This window comes from Homo sapiens, chromosome 1, assembly GCF_000001405.40.
Source record: "Homo sapiens chromosome 1, GRCh38.p14 Primary Assembly".
NCBI lineage: Eukaryota > Metazoa > Chordata > Mammalia > Primates > Hominidae > Homo > Homo sapiens.
In genome coordinates, this window is record NC_000001.11 from 66,658,728 (window position 1) to 66,681,336 (window position 22,609).

The 22,609-nt window shown below is 38.0% G+C and overlaps 1 protein-coding gene across 55 annotated transcripts in view; it reads left to right on the forward strand.

Moving 5' to 3' along the window:
• The window catches only part of SGIP1 (SH3GL interacting endocytic adaptor 1), a 217,779-nt gene that overhangs the window by 125,367 nt on the left and 69,803 nt on the right, over positions 1-22,609 (forward strand). For 28 of the 55 annotated variants that reach the window (NM_001376549.1, XM_047432059.1, XM_047432054.1 and 25 more), the window contains 5 exons: positions 12,268-12,292; positions 13,217-13,268; positions 14,554-14,639; positions 18,277-18,369; positions 20,951-21,025. In NM_001376549.1, coding sequence (NP_001363478.1) covers positions 12,268-12,292; positions 13,217-13,268; positions 14,554-14,639; positions 18,277-18,369; positions 20,951-21,025 — 331 coding nt within the window. Of the gene's footprint in view, positions 1-1,785; positions 1,798-8,802; positions 8,815-12,267; positions 12,293-13,216; positions 13,269-14,553; positions 14,640-18,276; positions 18,370-20,950; positions 21,026-22,609 lie in introns of all 55 variants that reach the window. The other 27 variants (XR_007064415.1, NM_001376535.1, NM_001376542.1 and 24 more) reach the window with 1 other exon arrangement.

The following is a 22,609-nucleotide window of genomic DNA, read 5'->3' on the forward strand; positions in this document are numbered from 1 at the left end:
CTAGCAATGGGTACCTTTGTTCCCTGAGGCTAATAAATGTCAGGCCAATAGAAAGGCCTTCAATATTTGTTTATTATTTTGAACAAAAGGAATGGGTCACAATCAAACCAGAGAAGGGAACAATTTATTTTGGCAGGCGAATCTGGGAAAGGTCTCATGGAAGAAATGTTACTGACCTTGAAGAATGAGTAATTTTGATTGGGGGAGAGGGAGAAGCAGCATGGGCAGGAGACAGGGAAGCGTGTAAGTGCACGGCACATCCAAGAGAGCCAGGAGAGTGCAGCGAAGTGCAGGCTTCATAGAAAGCCAACGGAGGACGATGAGGATGGGAAGGGAAGTTGGAGCCCATCACCAAAGCATTAAATTCCATAGAATGGAGTTGGCATTCTATTTTCCGGATAATAAGGAGGTTTTTTAAGGGCAGAATGATATATTCACTTCACTATTTTTGGAAAATGATTCCGAGGATAGTGTGAAGGATGGATTAGGAGATGAAGCTGGAAATAGGACCATCAGCTAGGAAGCTCATGTGCTGTCAGTGAAAGATAATGAAGGCCTCATTAAGACAGGTGCTGAGGAAGTAACAGGGCATTCTGAGGGGCCATTGACCACTCACAGGGAGAAGAATTCATAATTGTCTATGAAGAATAGGGGAAAATTAAGGATGGGATCAAAGAAGAACTGACGGCTCTAGCCATGGTGACTTGGGAGATGATAGGTTCTGGGTTCCCTGGAGAAACTGGAGCTTCTGGAAAGTCTCATGCTTTCATTTCATGACCGTGCCCAGCTACAATGCATGAGTAGTATTTTCCAACTCCTCTCAATATTACAAGGCATAATTTTTTTATTGTCAAGCCACAGATCTGTTTGATAAAAGTAAACCATTCAAAAGAAAGATTAGGCCAGGCACGGTGGTTTACACCTGTAATCCCAGAACTTTAAGAGGCTGAGGTGGGAGGATCACTTGAGACCAGAAGTTCAAGACTAGCCTGGGCAATATAGCAAGACCCTATCTTTACAAAAATAAAAATAATTAGCCAGAGACTGTTGTACATGCCTGTAGTCCTAGCTACATGGGAGGCTGAGGTGGGAGGATCTCTTGAAACCAGGAGTTGAGGGTTTCAGTGAGCTATGATTATGCCACTGCACTCCTCCCAGGGCACAGAGCAAGACAGACTCTGTCAGAAACAGAAAGAGAAAAAGAGAGAAAGAAAAAGAAAGAAAAAGAAAGAAAGAAAGAAAGAAAGAAAGAAAGAAAGAAAGAAAGAAAGACAGACAGACAGACAGACAGGAAGGAAGGAAGGAAGGAAGGAAAGAAAGAAAGAAAAGAAAGAAAGGAAGAAAGGAAGGAAGGAGGGAGGGAAGGAAGGAAGGAAGAAGGAAGGAAGGAAGGAAAGAAAGAAAGAAAGAAAGAAGAGAGAAAGAAAGAAAGAAAGAAAGAAAGAAAGAAAGAAAGAAAGAAAGAAAGAAAGAAAGAAAGAAAGAAAGAGAAAGAAAGAAAGAGGGAGGGAGGGAGGGAGGGAGGAAGGAAGGGAGGAAAGAGCAAGTTTAGAATGTGCTCAGATGCCCAGATGAAGTCCACACCTATGCCCTCTGTAGCTTGAACTAAAGACAGCAGCCTAGGAATGACCATATCAGACCCCCACAGGAAGCATTTATAAAAGCAGTGCCTTCGAGAGCTCCCTTAAGTAAGGTTATCCTGAACCTTGACCTGTTTCTTCTTGAAAATACATTTCACCTCTCTCATTTTCTCTTTATTCTTCCTCCCCATGCCTACGCTTTTAGAGGAAAAGTCCGGTAAGAAATAAGTCCTTCCCGCTTTTGGGGCAAACATTATTTATTCTGTTTATTTTCATTATCTGCATATCTAATGACTGACTGTGTTTAACACCTAAACAAGGTTTTGAACTTTAAAAACAAATCTTTGCGAACCATGACCAGGTCTCATTATGCCACATGGGAAAAAAGGAAGTTGGTTGCTAAGTGCTTTTACAACCCCGTTATTAAGGGCCCTGGGGTAATTTTGTAAAGATTCACCTCTGGTTCAATCACAGCCACACGATCAAATATTTTTGGTACTAAGTTTCATTTATTGCAGTTTCCACTGGAATTAGTCAAGCTACTTATACATATCATGAGCTAAGCAAATGTTTTATAAGTTAATTTTTGATTAGCGTACAACATAGTAGCATCTGGAATGCCTATGAAGCTGGCCCGGGAATGGGGAGTTGTAGGGAAGCTGGGGGGTTTTATTTTGTTTTTGTTTTAGTAAATCAAAATATTCCCTCCTGGAATTGTCAGAGTCTGGAAAAGAGAATCTTTATAAAATGTAAATTACCTCCTGGATGTTAATTTTTAGTAGCAGTGGGTGATTTTTAGTGGCAACACAAGTCTGATACGATGTACCTACATCGTTTTATTTTAGAGCAACACGAGGAACAGATTTCAAAAAATAAAATGAATTTGTTCTCTTCTTGGTTGCCTGGTTTGTTGGGAACATGTTCTCAGGATGCTGATGCATGGCTGACAGAGGTGACCTCTCTGCTGGAAAATAGGAAGATATTATGTTCCATGTTCACAGCACCAACAAGTGACCGGTTTGTTGTTAACGCACCTAGGTGGATGGTGCAATAAGTGCTTTCACCTCTTATGCTTCCCGCTGACCAAATCCTGGCAGCCACTGCACCACATACAGGATACTGTGCTTACAGAAAAGCTATAGGATAGGAGGGAGGCGGAACAGAGACACAGGAAGGACAAAAATATGAGACCAAAACATTAAAATGTCTCAAAATGTGAGCCCAACTCTTTTGGTTTCCAAAAATAAAATAGGCAGCTACAATTACGATTATTACTAAGCTAAATGGCCCGCTTCTGAGTAATTCAGAGTCAACTATGCATCGCCTGTTCTGTGGCAGCAAAATATTACTGGTGCTCTTTAACAGCCTTTTCTTACCCTTTACCAATTTCATTTATTCTTGTAGACCCTGAATATTTTCCTGAATTAACCAAATTTGGCCACCTCAAATATCCACAGGACTGTGTGGCCTGAAGTTTGCCTATGGTGCTTTAAAAATTCTCTTTTTCATTAATTTTTCTCCTGTTGTCCTTCACGGCAATTTTAACTACAAGAATATCCCCCCCATCATTCCCTCACCTCATTTTTCTTTGGAAATGTCCATCTTGATTCCTCAGCCTGGTCATTTTGATGATACCTTGGTTACTAGCAGGTTCTTTGTTTCTCTTCCCAAATGAAGTTTTAGAAGATCATCTCAAATATGTCTGATTGAATATAATAGACAGTCTCCGTAATCTAACTTGTAATATGTAGTCGACCCAAGTTTAAATACAGATAAACACCTACAATAGTGTGGCAAATTAATGCTTGCCAAATAGTTTGTCTTCACCCTAAAGCATTTAAAAAACAAATAGGAATCCTCGTAGGAATCTTAGTAATAAATGTAGTGATCATATATTCTAATCCTTTCCTAGAAAATTCTCTAACATTAATCACTCAATTTGCTAAAACGAGACTACAGAAAAGTCTTATTTGTTTAGTGCTTTGTAGTTTATTGCCTATTTTCATCTTTGTTTCCCCATAGCACTAAATTTAGCAAATTAGGATGTCACAAAACTTCAAAATCTGGGTTATTTAATGAATGTGACAAGGGGGATAGACTGTTTGGTTAGTTGGAAATGATAAACATATTGAAACACTTTATTCACATTGACTAAGACTAAGGTGTCATAGTTAACTGAATTTAAATTAATTCTGTTAAGCAAAAGGTAATAGAACTGCCGTGTCATAGAAGAACAGTGTGAAGGCTGAAGACATAGGCTGCAGTGTTTTCTTTTAGGTAGACATATTCATTTTGAAAATTATATAAATTTTAGAAATATACCACATTCTAGATCTTCATTCCAGTGACAAAATCATAGATTAGCAGTGTTTATCCACTTTGAAAATAGTTTCAACATATAAAATAAGAGTTATCTCTAAGTTGAACACCAAAATAAAAGTAGAAGGGAAAATAAAATGTTTTCCGCATTGGAAGACCAACAGAAATCTAGGTATTGAACACAGTATTTAATTAGAAATGAAGGAAATTTGTTCAGAAAACAAGTAGACCACTTGCAAAGTCTCTGAGTAATCAGACATAGAAATATAGCAATAATAACAGCAGATAGAATTTACTGAGAGCTTATTATGTATGATACAAATGGCTGCAATCAGAGATGAATTAATCTCCTGCAGATTCTGAACAAATGAATAGGTGTTTTGTTTGGTTGTGCAGTTAAAAACGATTTTAGCCCACATTTCAAAACTAGAACATTTCAAATTAAAAAAAAAAATCTGGATGCTCATCATCTCTCTGAAGACCTGGCAGGACTAAGCCCACATTCTCACGTGGCGCACATGGGGTGCACTGAACAGTGGCAAGTTTTCCAGAATCTCACAATGTGTATGTGCCTGACTCCCAGCACCCCCTCCCCATCCCCCACCCACTTTTTACTCCTGCAAGCATTTGGGTTTGCAACTCTGGACATAGATCTCTCAGCTTATAGAATATATCAAGACCAGATACTAAATCAGTTTTCTTCTGCCTTTGAAGAAAATTCTGTATATTGGTAAACAAAAAATAGAACACTAAAGGCTTTGACATTCTTGGGAAATGATGGGAGAAAGGGTAAAGTAAAATTGTGAACAGGAAAAGACCCTTCCCTCCTGGCTGATAATAATTTTTCTGTCCTTGTCCAGCATAGCCTAAGCCAGTTTTTGCTCTTCGGTGGTGGTAACTGACATATATAAAGCCCTTCCATTTGCTCCTGGAATTATTTTCCTATTGAAGCTTTCAGATAGCTCTTAATTATAGACCTTGAGGCTTTCTGGGTCTGTACTTTGCACAGCTTCTAGCTGTGTCTTTTGGGTTCTGTTTAATCAGCCTGTGACTACATGAATTTGAACAGCTATTCCCTGCTGAAGGCATTTTGCAAATGGAGTTTCCAAAATGCTATATTACAAGGTTGTCTTTTACTAGAAAAAAAATTAAACCTTGAACTTGTGATTAAAGTATAGGTTTATAACTCATTGGAAATTAAGATACAACTCAATTTGGGTGGATTAATATATTTGAAATTATTTTGAAAAAGTGTTCTGTATAACCTTAAATTAAAAGTAATAGCAAAAAACCGCAATTACTTTTGCACCTACTTTAATAATAAAGTGTCTTATATGTAAGGTTTTGCCTCTGAATGCTTGCAATCTAGACTCTATTTTTCATATTTCTCATAATTTCATCTTGGGCCACTTTTAGTCCTCTAATTGCTATATTTTAAAAGTGAATTGTTTGTCATGAAATTCCCATACTTCTTTCTACACCAAAGAACTTTTTAATCTGGTCACTAAAGAATAATAAAGTCTAAATTTTCATATAAAAAAGTATTTGAATTTTCCTCAAAGCACAGTATGGATTAGTCAATAAGATAATTTAAGCACAGAAATAGGTATTTATGTGGCCTTTTTTTTCTAATTTCATTTAAGGTGCATCCAGGCAGGTTTATAAGAAAGGTGGATTCAATAGGTAGCAGTATCTGGAAAATAAGGCAAATAATAAAGTCTATAATATTACAAGTAAATTGACTAGAATAATATGTCTAGTGTCCTAGCTACTTATAAACTGGTCTGAAAAATAACCACTCCTGGACGTTAATCACAATGACTCTCTGCTTTTGGAGTCATTCAACAATGCCAAGCTTGGCATCATAGAAGCAATGAGAAAATGAGAAATCAGGGATCTGAATTCTGTGTCTGGTTCTACCTGCCTACTAGCTGTATATCTCAGAGCCTCACCTTCCTCTCTATAGCATGTAGCCAGTTGAACTAGACATTCCTGGAGGCCTACCAGATGTAAAAAGCTACAAGTTTTTGCTTCCTATCTATGTTCTAGAAAGAACATCTTCTACATTTGAACAAACTCCTAGCTTTCTTTGTGTTTGTGCTCCTAGTTTTGGTTTTGGGAGGTAGCCTCTGGTGAATCCATGCATTAGCGCACATATTGAAAGGGAAACTGACCAACAGCTCTTTCCCTACTCACATGCTAGTCACTCGTGTTTATATCGGAAAGCTCCTAAAGAGGCAGAGCTATTAGAGATTGTTGGAATAAATTGATAGCAGCCATAATCAAGATTTGAAAAGCAAAAGAAAGAGGTCATACATCTGCTTGTTGTGCTTTTGTTGTTGTTGTTGTTGTTGTTGTTTATCATACTTTAAGTTCTGGGATACATGTGCACAACGTGCAGGTTTGTTACATATGTATACATGGTGCCATGTTGGTTGCTGCACCCATTAACTCATCATTTACATTAAGTATTTCTCCTAATTCTATCCCTCCCCCATCCACCACCCCACGACAGGTCCTGATGTGTGATGTTCCCCACCCTGTGTCCAAGCATTCTCATAGTTCAATTCCCACCTAAGAGTGAGAACATCTGGTGTTTGGTTTTCTGTCCTTGCGATAGTTTGCTCAGAATGATGGTTTCCAGCTTCATCCATGTCCCTGCAAAGGACATGAACCCATCCTTTTTATGGCTGCATAGTATTCCATGGTGTATATGTGCCACACTTTCTTAATCCAGTCTATCATTGATGGACATTTGGATTGGTTCCAAGTCTTTGCTATTGTGAATAGTGCCACAATAAACATACGTGTGCATGTGTCTTTATAGCAGCATGATTTATAATCCTTTGGGTATATACCCAGTAATGGGATCACTGGGTCAAATGGTATTTCTAGTTATAGATCCTTGAGGAATCGCCACACTGCCTTCCACAATGGTTGAACTCATTTACACTCCCACCAACAGTGTAAAAACATTCCTATTTCTCCACATCCTCTCCAGCACCTGTTGTTTCCTGACTTTTAGTGATTGCCATTCTAACTGGTGTGAGATGATATCTCATTGTGGTTTTGATTTGCATTTCTGTGATGACCAGTGATGATGAACATTTTTTCATGTGTCTATTGGCTGCATAAATGTCTTCTTTTGAGAAGTGTCTGTTCATATCCTTTGCCCACTTTTTGATGGGGTTATTTGATTTTTTCTTGTAAATTTGTGTAAGTTCTTTGTAGATTCTGGATATTAGCCCTTTGTCAGATGAGTAGACTACAAAAATTTTCTCCCATTCTGTAGGTTGCCTGTTCACTCTGATGGTAGTTTCTTTTCCTGTGCAGAAGCTCTTCAGTTTAATTAGATCCCATTTGTCTATTTTGGCTTTTGTTGTCATTACTTTTGGTGTTTTAGTCATGAAGTCCTTGCCCATGCCTCTGTCCCGAATGGTATTACCTAGGTTTTCATCTAGGGTTTTTATGGTTTTAGGTCTAACATGTAAGTCTTTAATCCATCTTGAATTAATTTTTGTATAAGGTGTAAGGAAGGGATCCAGTTTCAGCTTTCTACATATGGCTAGCCAGTTTTCCCAGCACTATTTATTAAATAGGGAATCCTTTCCCCATTGCTTGTTTTTGTCAGGTTTGTCAAAGATCAGATGGTTGTAGATGTGTATTGTTATTTCTGAGACCTCTGTTCTGTTCCATTGGTCTATATCTCTGTTTAGGTACCAGCAGCATGCTGTTTTGGTTACTGTAGCCTTGTAGCATAGTTTAAAGTCAGGCAGTGTGATGCCTCCAGCTTTGTTCTTTTTGCTTATGATTGTCTTGGCAATGAGGGCTCTTTTTTGGTTCCATATGAACTTTAAAGTAGTTTTTTCCAGTTTTGTGAAGAAAGTCATTGGTAGCTTGATGGGAATGGCATTGAATCTATAAATTACCTTAGGTAGTATGGCCATTTTCATGATATTGATTCTTCCTATCCATGAGCATGGAATGTTCTTCCATTTGTTTGTGTCCTCTTTTATTTCATTGAGCAGTGGTTTGTAGTTCTTCTTGAAGAGGTCCTTCACATCCCTTGTAAGTTGAATTCTTAGGTATTTTATTCTCTTTGAAGCAATTGTGAATGGGAGTTCACTCATGATTTGGCTCTCTGTTTGTCTGTTATTTGTGTATAGGAATGCTCATGATTTTTGCACATTGATTTTGTGTTTTCTAAGGTCATCTGGTCCACCAGGGTTCTGTTGCTGCTGGACAGTTTTCGTCATTCCCGACTACGTTTGTCAGGGGCTCCTCATCTTCGCCATCACATTCTCATCATTCGCATCACATTGGTAGAGGCTGCCCAGATCACTAGGCCAAGAACATTCAAAAAATCCTTATAAGCACACCTTCCATAGAACACCAAAGAAAAAATCCAGACAAGGAAAAGGGGTCTCTAAATCCTGCCTCTGATTTTTTGTAAGCTCTTTTTGTACCCTAACTATGTGGGAAATGCATTATTGTCTATATTTGCTAACATCCAGCTCTGTAGGGAAACAGTTTACTTCTCTATTCTCTAAGTACCCCCCCCCAAACTATCTGGAGAAAAACTTCTACGGCAAGACATTAAACATTGTCAGTAAAGTTTTCTTGTATGTTTCTGCCTTGTTCTTATGTACACATAACTAAAACTTACATACCCACATTAGCAAAGCTGTATTGTACAATGGATAGCCTCTCTTTAAGGTTCTCCAAAGCCTCCTATGGTTTAAATAAGCCCTAAACACTAGGACTGCCTGTCTTCCTTTGGCCTGATTCTCTGGAGTGTATGTTTGGTTAGCTGCTTATAAAGTCTTCTGTTACCCAAGACTGTTGACTGATCCATCATTCTCTGACTAGGTGTCTGTTCTCTCTTCCTTTTTGCTGATCACAGAGGCGCAGCCCGGTAAGAACTCTCAACATTTTTACCTTAAACATGTATAGAGAAAATTGCTGCCAAGGCAAGGTGGCCAGGTTGGTTTCCCATTAAATTTATGATAACCCAGTGTGAATGAGGCAGATGAAATAGGTTTACTGATTGAAAGCCTCTGACCCTCTTAAGTATCAAGGGCATATTTTAGAATTGTCAGAGCACTTTCCCATAAGTAACTAAATTAATAGATGGGAATCCCAACTCCTAGTACTAAACTTGGAAAATATATGGAGTGTGTGTGTATATATGTGTGTGTGTGTGTATGTGTATATAAAAGGCCTAGAGATTCACCAGAAAGTACCATAGAAGTTGATAGCAAAGAGATAATAAAGAATAATAAAATGAATAAGAATGTAAGGACATCATTTTTAAGCCATCATTGTTTGTAAGCCTGAATTCAAAATATGTTCCTGGACCATAACTTACAATGATCAGAATATACAGATACATCATTATAATTTCCATCTTGGGAGAGGGAGACACACTTTCAAGTCAATATTCCTAGGCTATCACATAATTCTAAATAAATTTCATCACAGAAGACAAACTTTGGGAGGGTAGATCAATATTAATTTGCATTGTTCAAAGTGAAAACTGTCGTTTTCCTCAAGTTGAAAAGTATCATAAATTTTTTTTTTTCTGTGACGGATCTCGCTCTGTTGCCCAGGCTGGAGTGCAGTGGCGTGATCTCTGCTCACTGCAACCTCCGCCTCTCGAGTTCAAGCAATTCTCCTGCCTCAGCCTCCCGAGTAGCTAGGATTACAGGCGCCTGCCACCATGCCCAGCTAATTTTTGTATTTTTAGTAGAGACAGGGTTTCGCCATGTTAGCCAGGATGGTCTTAATCTCCTGACCTCATGATCCACCTGCCTCGACCTCCCAAAGTGCTGGGATTACAGGCTGAGCCACTGCGCCCAGCTGAAGAGTATCATGAATTTAAAGCAACAAAAAGAAGGGTCTTTGTTAGGTTTGAAATGATCCCCATTTACCTGGTCAGTCCCTTAAGAGAGGAAATGGAACTGAAGACAACACTCTCTGAAATATCCCTAGGCCTGTGCCAATCCAATTAGTCAATTATTATTTGATGCAAATACCCTGCCCCAGGTGACCAGTTGGTGGTTCTCTGCTAAACTACATAGCTAATGCCATTCAAAGATGGTATCTGCAGAGACTGCTAATCTACGGATGATTCCAACCCAGCTGTTAAGTGACATCACAGATTATGAAAAGAGTGAATTCAATCATTCAAAGTGAGGAAATTTATTCACAACATACATATAACAACAAACAAGCATTGAAAGGGGGAAAATACAGTCGCTTGACAAAGGGAGGTTTTTGAATCCAATGGGCTTTTTTCCTGAATGTGGTTTGTGTGGTCGACATCACCTCAGTCTTTTTCTAGATATGTCATGCTGCAACATTAAGGTCATCAGAGATCTGTATGCCCATCCAGCAGATAGCAGGACTTTCTTTTCTGTTGCTGCTGAGTTGCTGCTGATCTTTCAAACATTTGTTGCTTTCTAAATTGATACTAGCTTTGTTCTTCCTAATTTCTAAACAACAGAGTTTTCTTGAATATTTCTGCCATGTTTTGGTTGCACTTAACTTGAGATTGTTCATTCATGAAGACTATTTAATAAAAATGTTACAGGGGCTTCTTCTTTAGTGCCTTTCAACTGTGAATATCCATTGAATGAATTGACACACCTGGGAATTGATGACTACAAAAGGAGCTCTGTAGCTTTCTTGGTTTCATGGATATTAACATTTGAAGGAGTAGGACAGAGGGACAAAAAGGTCTTCAATACAACCTCTGGGACCTCCTGGCTTTTAGGCCTCACAGTACTAGGTGGGCTGTGTTCCCTCAATGCCATTTATTAATCTTGTGATTGACTGCTTGGAACTAAAGCCCCTCTATCTCTTCCTTCAGATCTTATTAATGAAATTCTATCTGAGGGTTCATAACCCAGAAAAACATCTGTTATCTAATTATTTCTGTTATCTAATCATTTCTGTCTACAGAGCCTTCTTTTCCAAAAGCGAACCTGTATCCAAACTTCCATAATGTCCTCAGCAGATTTACATGGCCATATTTATTAGAAAGTATTTATAAATAGTGTAGTAATTCTCTATATGACACACTTAGTAGGGAAAAACAGATCACATTATTAGACAAAAAGCCAGAAAATGTAGTTTGAGAGATTGAGAAAGCATCAAATGGATCCTTGTTCAGATTGAAACTGCTCCCGTAGCATAAATGGGTTCAAAATGGGACAGAAAATGCTTATATAGCCTTAGGAACGAGGGAAAGAAGCTTCTTATAGGTCAATTACAGAGGTGCTAAACCTTGTCCTAAGCTGTTAATGTTATACTTTGAGAGAAGAAAATGTATCTGTGACCACCAGATTGAGCCTTCACTAAAATTAAAAAGTAGGAAAAAATGTGTTTGGTGGCCATCCAACAAATGTGTTCATGGTCTCAGCTTTTGGAATGCTTTCTTATATGTACTTCAGCTTTCCCTGTCCTCAACTCTGCCCCTGTCATTCTCCTACTGCAGGCATCCCAAGCCATGCTGTACCCCACGATGCAACCATCCTGGTGGTCTAGTTTTCTGGTGGCATCCCACACTAAGAACTTTTCACAACTTCTGGTTTTTAATCAAAACTCTTAATCTAATCAATCCTTTTACTATCTAAATAAGTTTATGCTAAGGCATTATAAAAACTGGAGATGACCTGCTCAGATTATTCCTACCAGGGCTATTTGTATTCCAATAATATCACAATGCCTTGAGCTAAAGACATTACTTCCAATTCATGAATTGATGGGCCTAGTGGCAGGCAAGTGAAATAAATTGGGAGGATGAGTGCATAGGTGGAATTCCCTGGCTTTCTGAATAAAACAGTTCATTCAATGGCAGATAGTTCAAGTTTCCCCTGCCTTTTACACTTGCTATCTATACCTTTTAAAATCACATTTGTAAACTGATGACTGTTTCCATTAGCAACCTGGGGACCACACCTGGCAAGGAGCATGCACTACTCCTAAACACATTCTGTAATTTTTAAGCATCAAATATATGCTAAACTTCGATTTACTTTCTTATCTACTAGACTTCAAGAGGTTTTTTTTAATGGACTAATCAATATTTGAATTTAATTTACCAAATCTACCCAGGTAAGGGGTTTTTCTTCTTCAGAAGACTTACGATTTACCCTTTCTTCCTCTCTATAATCTTTGAGTGAAATAAAAAACTGATTTCTGTGTGTGTATCTACAATTTCCTACTTAAATGCGGTTCTGAGAAAAAGTTCATTTCCCTATCTGCATTTATTTGAGTTCAGTTTAATTGCAATGACAGAAATAATACATATTGTACATAACATATATGTGGTCTTAAACCTTATAGTGTCTATTTCTAATTCTAGGGTGCAATTAAAAGGAACTTATCCAGTAAGTATATCTTAGCTACCAGAAATAGTGTATGATTTAAAAGAAAGAACAGTTCCTTGGATCTTGGAGTATATGTACATATGAATTATACATTCCTGGGCTTAATTTTTAAGACTTACAATTTTTTTACTTTTACAGCAAAGAATTCTTGTAATGATAGAGGGCACTTGTGGGTTCTGAGTGATTAATGTTTAAGTTCTGAAAATAAATATGTTTTTGGAAAAACATTGCTATTTTCTTTCTATATTTGTCAACTCTTGCTGTATTATTTAACTTTAGAAATGAATTTAATCAAGTGTGTATTTGTTGCTGGGGGTGGGAAGAACAGGCGGGCAGAAGGAACTGAAAGTAGAAGCAACTTACCCATTCTTGTGTTATTTGATATGAAAATTTTAGTCAACCAAAGTGATGCGATATAGGTTATAATACACATAGGGCACAATTTTCCTCTGCTGCATACAACACTTCCTAGGAAATTCTAAATTCATGTTTCATAGTTAAAGATACAACATTTTCTTGGCATTTCAAGAAAAGAACAGGCAGAGAATGCTGGATTCATGTATTACACATATGGCCTGGCTTAGTATTCTCTTAATTGGAAAGCAGAACCAGTCAAGGCAGCAGACATTCCAAGAATGGTGTGCTCTTTCACTAAGTGCTGCACTATACAAATCTTCTATTTGATGGCTTGTCACGGAAGTTCCTTAGTTAATGAGGTTTTACAAATGCCAGAGAAAACACCACTACATATGCCTAATATATGGCTGTTGCATTGCCAGGGGAGAAGGTTTGTTTTGCAAAGTTTTCATACTGAGTTGCTTATTGATGGGACTTAAATCTCTAAGTGTTTCCAAACATAGGTTATAAGACATATCAGGGAATGGTAAAAATTTGTCTAAAAAGTTCCTTTGTCCTGTGCATCAGGTGAAGAAGTGGCAAGACCCAGGCGTTCCACACCAACTCCAGAACTTATAAGGTGAGTGTGAAAGACATTAGTTGTGTTTTATGCAAGGCATCATGAACTTTTAACAATTAAGCAAATCTCCTTTGAGCTAAACTCTCAGCTCCCATTAACAAAGGCTCTACCAAAACATGTCAGTCCATATGTCCACAGCATGGTCCAAATATGTTATTATTTTTCATAAGTGCAGCCCAAGGGAGACCTTTAGGGAAATATTCTGCCCTTATCTGAAGTAACTGTCTATCAGAATGTGCAGGCCCCTTCCTGATGGGACAGCTAAAGTTTCTCTCTAAAGAGGTATTTTGGTGTCTGGAATGCTGATCTTCAATATCATTATATTACCCTACGAAAAGAAGCCTATTTAGTTGGATACCATCTCATGATACATTCCACCTGCCACACACCAAAGGAATCTTCCATTCTGTTTTTAGTTTTTGGCAAAGCATTGTATTTTACAGTGTATTCTGTGGGTTAGGTAAGTATTGTACAAATGGCATTGTTTTATAAAAAGACTGCTATTTCTATTTTGAAACTGGATTATTTTCAATCTTTATCCTCCTCCAACCTCTCCCCTCTCCTCTTCACCCCTTGCCCGTTACCATACCACATAGACCTCACTGGGATCAATGAGGGGAATCAGATTTGGAGAAGAAATGAAGATAATTATGCATCATTTTCTTAATAATCAGTCTGGAGTAATAATCAAGAGAAGGGATGCGAGTTTAACTTATTATCCTCCTGTTCCCCCTGATTTCTCAATACTTCTCTTTCTGAGATTTACTATCTTGGAGTATTAGGAGGTTACAACTAGTCTATTAGAGGATGAAACTTCTCGGTGGCTTTTTACTTAATATTGCTATGCTTGACTTTCGCTAATTATAAATTGCATTAACTACAACAAAGAGATGTGGTGAAATCAAATATAAATTTTACTTGAGATCTTAGGGGAGAAAGGTGCTTTGCAATAAACTCAGCTCTAGTATTATCTCTTCTAGGTATAGAAAATCATGATGCTTTGAAAGAGTTATTCTCCTTCAACTTATTTCTATTGGGTGAGCACCTCAGCTCTCCATTGAGAACTAAGGATCTCACCTTCTACCAATTCTTTTGTCCCATAATACATCTGACATCCTTATAAAATACTTTCTAGCCCTAACGGGGCTTGTATACACATGCATGCATGCACTGGTGCACACACACACTTGTTTCACTAAGAAAAATATGTGAAAGCTTGTATATCTTTTTGAGTATTAATTTTTGAGCCCTTTCCCTGTATTTTGCCTTAATGTGTGTGATTTAGCAAAAAGCCTCCAGATGACACTACGGCCCTTGCTCCTCTCTTTGGCCCACCACTAGAATCAGCTTTTGATGAACAGAAGACAGAAGGTAGGAAAAGAAACTCCATATATTATAGATTTGTTTTTTCTTTTATTAAAGTACAACTCTTCTAGATTAAATGTATGTATTTTGAGGTATATTTTTAATATATTATTTTCGTGGGAAAGAAAAGTTTCAATCTAGGTGTGCTGTCAAGAACAGAAGTTTAGTTTGAAAATCTCTATTATTTTAGGATTTGAAACTTTACTTCCAGAAATATCTAATAGCTAAGAAGCTCATTCTTCAAAACAAGTCAGTAAAAATTACTGCAAGTCTACACAAATCCCGGTCATGGAGTAAACACTCTGGGAACCAGACCATCATCATTTGAGGTGTCAACAGAATCACAAATGGAGACAGACCTTCATACATCCGTCATTGTCGCTGTCGTTGGGGTGTGGCCTCCCTGACCATCTTTGCTCTTTCCCACCTCATAATGAAGGCATCAATTGGATTGCTCACAACAGTCATTGTTTGCTGGCTCAAGACCCAGGAATGACCTTGAATCATTTAGAAACTTAGAAATAAGGCCAGGTGTGGTGGTTCACTCCCTCAATCCCAGCACTTTGGGATGCTGAGATAGGATTGCTTGAGCCCAGGAGTTCGAGACCAGCCTGGACAACATACGGAGACCCCCATCTCTACAAAAAAATTTTTAAAATTAGCCGGGCATGGTGGTGCATGCCTGTAGGCCCAGCTGCTCGGGAGGCTGAGGTGGGAGGTTCACTTAAGCCCAGGAAGTCAAGGCTGCAGTGAGCTGTGATCACACCATTGCACTCCAGCCCGAGCAGCACAGCAAGACCCCACCTCAAATAAAATAAAATAAAATAAAATGCTACTGAAGAAATATCTTTATTTCTGCCATTATTTTTGAGTTTACTTATTAAATATTTATTCCTAGAGTTAAACATTTAACATTTTTAAATTAACCATGTTTTTGGATGGCTGTAAATACCGTGTACTTTACTGACATAAAATCAGCTCTCTATAAAATGGATCTTATCTATCCCTGAAATGTGTTTATGTCTAATGCATGTATTTCCAATAGCTATGTTTGGTAATATAGAATGTTTTTATAAAAAATTATTTGACTTAGGGGCACCATGGTAAATGTATAATAACATGTTATCCTTCTAGGACCTATTGGTGAAGGGCCTTAAGTGTTAAAGAATTGGAAGCATAGTGGGTAGACTAAGCTACATTAACAAAGAGACCCCAAGTACAATAAATTAAACAAGATGGAATTTTATTACTCTTTCAGGTTAACTGTCTGGAAGTAAACAATATAGGACTGGTAAAGTAGTTCTGTTGTCTTTAAAATGTTACTTTTATCTCTGGCTCCAAGGAGGCTGCTGCAGCTCTCCTCCCCTCCCATTCAGAAGAAAGGAAGTGGGGTGAGGACCACTGGAACTCACTGCTAACTATTCTAAGAGCAAAACTAGAAGAGATACAAGTCACTTCCTGCCAAACCCCACTGGAGAGAATTTGGTGCTATGTAGCCAGCTAAAATTCTGTTACTATAGAAGAACTGGAGAATGAATTCTGGGAGATAGCCAGCAGTCAGCCACACCTGAATATTTTCAATGATTTTGTTAGGAAACTGTACAAAGAACATTTCTAAATACTCCTTAATGATTTTAATGTCCATAACTTAGAATCCCTATGTAAAGGTGGCCTTGCAGTGAGGCTATCAGTTTCCTTATTAACTCATCTGTGATCAATCTCACTCTTAATGACATATCGTATGGTGACTGGAGACGGGATTTGATTTGTTGCACCTACATCTGCCCGTTTAAGGAATCCCATAACTATATGAAAACTTTATGTAAAACATAGAAATCATTCTTAAAAATCATAGCTGTGTTCCACATGGAATTCATGAAGAAAATGCTGCTTCGTATCTTTGGAGAATGTTTGCTTTCATGTTAAAACAGAGCGAAGTCCACCTTTGAGGCTTGTGGTGGGGAGGAGATACACACCCAGACCTGTCCATGACTGTGGCCTCAGTTGTTCTTTAGATGATTTCAGCCCCTGAACTTCTGTAAAGTTCCTGCCTTTGCACCGATCACACTAGCTTTTTCGATACCCACACTTCCCTTTTGTATCTACTCATTCTTCTTTAGATTGATTTTTCTTTTTCTTTCTGTCTTTCTTTTTCGTTGTTTTTCTTTTTCTTTTTCTTTCTTTTTTTTTTTTTTTTTTGACAGAATCTCACTCTGTCACCCAGGCTGGAATACAGTGGCAAGTTCTTAGCTCACTGCAGCCTCGACCTCCCACAGCGATCCTCCCACCTCAGCCCCCAGAGTAGCTGGGATCACAGGCACATGCCACCCCACCTGACTAATTTTTGTATTTTTTGTAGAGACTGGGTTTCACCATGTTGCCCAGCTGGTCTCGAACTCCTGGACTCATGTAATCCTCCCACCTCAGCCTCCCAAAGTGCTGGAATTACAGCTGTGAGCCACCATGCCTGGCCTAGAAAGATCTTTCTATCACTAGTTGAAATGGTCTGGGGAAAAAATATGTATTTTAGAGTTAAAAGTCTGCTACATCAGATCTTAGCTCTTCTGCTTTTACCGTGGACACCTCATTAAACCACTCCTATCACTATTTTCCTCTCCCATAAGTGGAACTGGTATCAACCACATAGTGGTGGTAAGAGTATTCAAATAGACAGTAACAGCTACTGGCCTTGTGATACGTGTTTTATAGACATTTTATATATACTCTATTCATATATCTTTCCTCTGTTAATCCTCTTCATAACTCTCTAAGGTTGCTTTTATTATCTCCACTTTACACTAAAGGAAGGCAGCGCAGAGAGGTTAAGCAACCTGCCAAGGTCCTACGGTCAGTGCAGAGGATAGATTCAAACCACATCCAACTGACTTCCCAGCCTGTCCTAGACAACATAATGAATTACAGCAGTACTTGCATAGTCCCTGCCACAGGATAGGTACTGAGAAGCACTAACTATTTGCATTATCATAGGTATTTTTAATAATCAGAACAGGAAGCAAAAAGAAAGAGAAGAAATGTTAAATTCAGTGTCCTTAGGCCCAAAACCTAATTGCCCTATGTTCGGTGCCTAAGCACTCATTTTTCTGGTTCTCTTAACATATTCACCAAGTGTTTTTAGGATAGTTTAGTTTCTTTTTATGATGCTGTAAAAGGTTTATGTAAAGACCCTTCAAGGATAGGAACCACTGCATAGAATGCAGGCGTTTTCAGTTTTGAAGCATATTTATAGGAGGCTTTAAATCAACCAACTTACAGCAAAACAAATGTTCATGGGGTTAATGTCTGGATTTTCAAATGGGTACCTGAAACAGAGCCAGTACATGTACTGATACTCAGAATGTCCTTACGTGACCACCCAGGAAGCAAATGCAGATTCTGCTCTGAAAGTTTTTATGTAGCTATATGTACACACACAGACACTCCTCCCACCCACACTCACACCACACTCCTATTTCTATTCTCTGCTTGAAAAGAATAAGGAGCAGCACATTCCTAAGTTAATTTTTTAGTACTGAGACAAGAGGAAAATAATTTTGTAAAGCTCAACTTGAAATCGAAATTTTAAGTTCTAAAGTATGGGGATTTTTTTTAACTCACCCTGGGAAATCTTCTTTTTTGTTTCCAGTTCTTTTAGATCAGCCTGAGATATGGGGTTCAGGCCAACCAATTAATCCAAGCATGGAGTCGCCAAAGTTAACAAGGCCTTTTCCCACTGGAAGTAAGTTATGTGTCTGCTCTGTCTGGAAAAATAAGTGACTCATTTTAGTGTCTGTCTGCATAGTGAAATTAGGCAACTCTTAAAAAGTCTATGTAAGCAACATTAGAACTGAATAATATTAAGAAGAGATGTTATTCTAACAGGCTTTCAAGTTAAAGAACTCAGGGCAGGTTATGAAGACAGGAAGAAAATAACATAATAAAGCAAATTATTAACCTTGAATCATAGCCTTTTCTGAAATCCCACATGCTTATTCATTCATTTATTCATTGTACGTAAGTAAGAATAAGAAGCAAGGGAGCTAAAGAAACTACTGCATTCCAGGCATTAGGCTATCATATAACACAGAGGTGAACAAGTCTAATACGGTCTCTGCTCATCCTATAGAGCAACTGAGGCTGCACAGGACAGAAAGGACACATTGATAGGAAAGAGTGACAATTGGGGAACAAGAGAACTGAGGCTATATGGTAGAGAGAAGCTGAGATAGTAGATCAGAGTAAATGTATGTGAAAGTTGCCATCAGTCTGGCTTCTTCCAGCATGACCCAGGCGTCTGGGAAAGGAGGTCCTGAAGATCCAGATAGCCGTTCACCGGTGGTGGGTTGGGCTATTTGGACTGAATGGATTGTTCATCAGGTAAAGCCACCCTTCTTAAAGATTTATTGAATTCCCTTTTCAGTAGACTGCCTCTGAAGCATGCCTGTGGAAAGCACTCTTTTCAAAAAAAGGTGTTTGGGGAGGAGAGAGATGCAGAGGATGTTTTTACTCCTTTGGGCTCACATACAGACCAACCAATACTTTTTCCAGTTCAGCATCTCCAGAGCTTACGCCTTGGTGCCTAAAGGTGATCATGAGAATTAACCGCGGGGATTCATAATCAAAGGCCAAGAGGTTGTTTGTTGGAAATATTATTGCTATAAAGCCGTGTGATCTAGCCTTTCCAAAGATATTTCCCTCATTAAACAGGATAGGAAAAACATCATTATCAACAATTTTTTAAAAACTTCTGAACTTTGAAAAATGTATTTTTAAAATATTTGAACCACAGTGGCATGATTTTGAATGTTTTCCCCTGCAAAACAAAACTAGTGAAAAAGCTGTAACTTCCTTGAAAAGCTTTCTTTACAGACCTGAGCTATGCAAGTGATCCCTAGAAAACCCTTTCCTAAATGCCAAGAAAGTAAATGAATTGTTTATGGAGGTGATGTATTGGTTTTAACTATTGGTATTTCAGAGCTGTGAGTCTTACGTGCTGTGGTTACACTTAGCACAGCACAGGCTGTTGTTTAATTGATGTGCATTATATCATTCTGCTCATGTTGTAGTTGCAGCATAAGTTTTCTATTTTAGCTTATTAGGCTTTTACAGTATTTTATTTGTTTTTATGGTATTTTGTTGATTATGACCTTGATTTTTGGCAGAGATCCTTAATCAGGAGCAGAGCCCCTGATTGACTCTTAACTTCTGTGGGAAAATATGGTCCACTAGAGGTGTAGCTTTCAGAAGCTCATAATTAAGATTAAGAACCACATATTCCTAGGCTTTAGGATGAGGGTTGTTAGTCATACTTATTGTGTGGAAGAACAGGATGCTACCTAAAAATAATAAATAAAGTACGGGAAGGGGAGGAGGAGGGAGGAATGACAGAAAAAGCTTCTTCCTAATTTAGGCAAGTGGAAGGTACCAGCAAGCGCTCTCCAGCCATGTGCCTACCTGCCTCCCTCTGCGTTTAGGTTATGAGAGATTGGACGGCATTCAGATTCACAGCTAAACTTTGGGATGGCCTGTGAAATTAGTGTGAACTCTTTGAATCTACCAGATAGGACCAGTGACAAGAAAACATACACTTAAAGAAAGAGGAAGAAGAAATGAACCAGTTGAAACAGTAATTCCAAACTTTGCCCACAAAGTGACAAGTCCAGCTCAGAAGGGTGAATCTCTTCGTAGGGACCATGATACTTGATTTGGCTGTAATTTTTGTCAAAGGAATCTGTTCATTCCTCCTTGACCCAAGCAGTTAGTTTGCTTCTAACTTTAAAAAATGTACTAAAATTTAAGAAATATAATTTTGAGAAATCTTTCCCAACTCAATCTGGACACTAAGATCCTGACTGGATTAAAAACCCCTCACAGGAGCCCCCACCCAACCTGTGATTTCCGTTATCAAACCCTCGACTGTAACTGTCAGCGGACATGATTTCATTCAGTCAGTCATAAATCCCTTGAGGCCAAAGACTATTTTTATTCAACCCTATGACCCTAGTTCCTAGTACAGGAGGTAGGACGTAGTTGCTGCTTGAGGTTTGTGTGTTGAATCATATTTACATGAATAAAATGGTGATATTATTATTACTGTCCAACATTCTCTTGACGTTCTCTTATTCTCATAAAATGGAACAATCTGAATGGGTTCTGCCTCAGTTCTTTGGCTTTGAACTTCAAAGAAGTAGACCATTAATTGCTATTCCATTTCCAATAGCAGGAATATAACTGAAAGCCCAAATCCTGCTTATTTAAAGTGTATTGTATGACTTAGGAAGCACATGACCAATGATACTTAATTTCTCATCTTTTTGCAGCACCTCCACCACTGCCTCCAAAAAATGTACCAGCTACCCCACCCCGAACAGGATCCCCCTTAACAATTGGACCAGGTACGCTTTTGTTTTTTCAGTTCTGGGATGATGTGTCAAACAGAGCAGTGGCCCCGGATGAACATGCCCTTGATGTGTTGAAAACTGTAGGCTACACAAAAACATCACAATGTTGGCATTCAGTTTTGCTTTCATTAGAATTTCTTATGCAGACTTATTTTAAAGCACCACTTCCAGGTTTCACACACACAAAAAAGTAATAATTTCTCAGTTAATTTTTCCTTGGTATAATTTTGTTGAATGAGGGACATTTTGTAACACGAAATGAAAAAAATCTCAATATGAAAATTCATTGTTTAATTAACCCCTCACTTCGTTGGATCTCGTTTTAATGATTTACAAATTCATAGTCTCAAAGCACAGTTGGTATTTTTTCAAGAGAATTTTGCTAAGTCTAAAACTATCTAGTCTATGAAGACATAAAATGGTTCCCAGGGTGTGCAGCATACTGGTGGTGGGGAAATTCTTTTTCATTCAAGTATTTATTATCTCATGGCAAGGAGATATGTAAAGATTATGAAATATGGCAAGGAATTGCTACACACCTGTAGACAGATAATGCTTAAGGCACACCTTTACCATCTATTAAAATCAATACTATGTATTCATACAATTTATAGTCTGCCAAGTCTTACTGGACTAGCAAATCAAAAGTAGTAATAGCTGTTATGTGCCTGGGCCCTTAGAATGTGGTTCTTTATCACCTTCGGAATTCTGTTGCAGCTTCATCCTTTGCTATTTATGCAGCCTGGTGAGTTTGATAGCTGCAGAGTGGGGCATTCATCAACAAAAGCAAAAGCACGATGTAGTTATTTATGAAATTTATATTGACTCAAACCCAATAGAGAGTCATCCAGAGCTTCATAAGTAAAGATGTTTGCAGGTTCAAGACATTTTGGCCCCTTTTATTTCCACAAATTGTGTTAGATATAAATATACCTACTAGCACAAGATTATAAATATTGCGGACTATGCAAAATGCTTCCCCATTTATCTGTAGCCTTGGAACCTTGAAAGTTAATTCCTTTCAAGCTAGAAATATAGAAATACTAAGATGGCTCATATAGCCCAAGAGTTATATAAAGGTAAAGTGACTTCTGTTCATGCCTTCCAGTTATTTAGGTAGCAATTTGTAATGTGAATAATCTCAGTTTTTAAAAAGTGCAGTTCTTCATACAGAGCTGTAGAAGATCATTCTTAATTTTTTCTCTTATTATTGCTATGAGTTAAAAAGAATAGCTTATGCTAATATTTTAGCAAAACAGACATGTTGGTATCATGACAACATATAGATAAATATCACAGTTATGCTTATGAGGTTGACAGGTTAGACTTAATGAGAAAAGAAATTATTTAAAAATTTTTAAATTATTTTCTTCTCCATTAAGCAGGTATATATGTAACAGTTCTAATAAGTAGCAAATGCCTCCTCAATAATCTATGTGTGTGTTGTGTGTGGGGTGTATATATCTGTATTTGTAAGTATCTTTGTGGTGATACCTTCTTAATCTTTGTACTGTGTTTCTGGTGTTTTTTAAGGTTGAGGATATACAGCTAAATACGATGTGATCACTTCTTAAAATT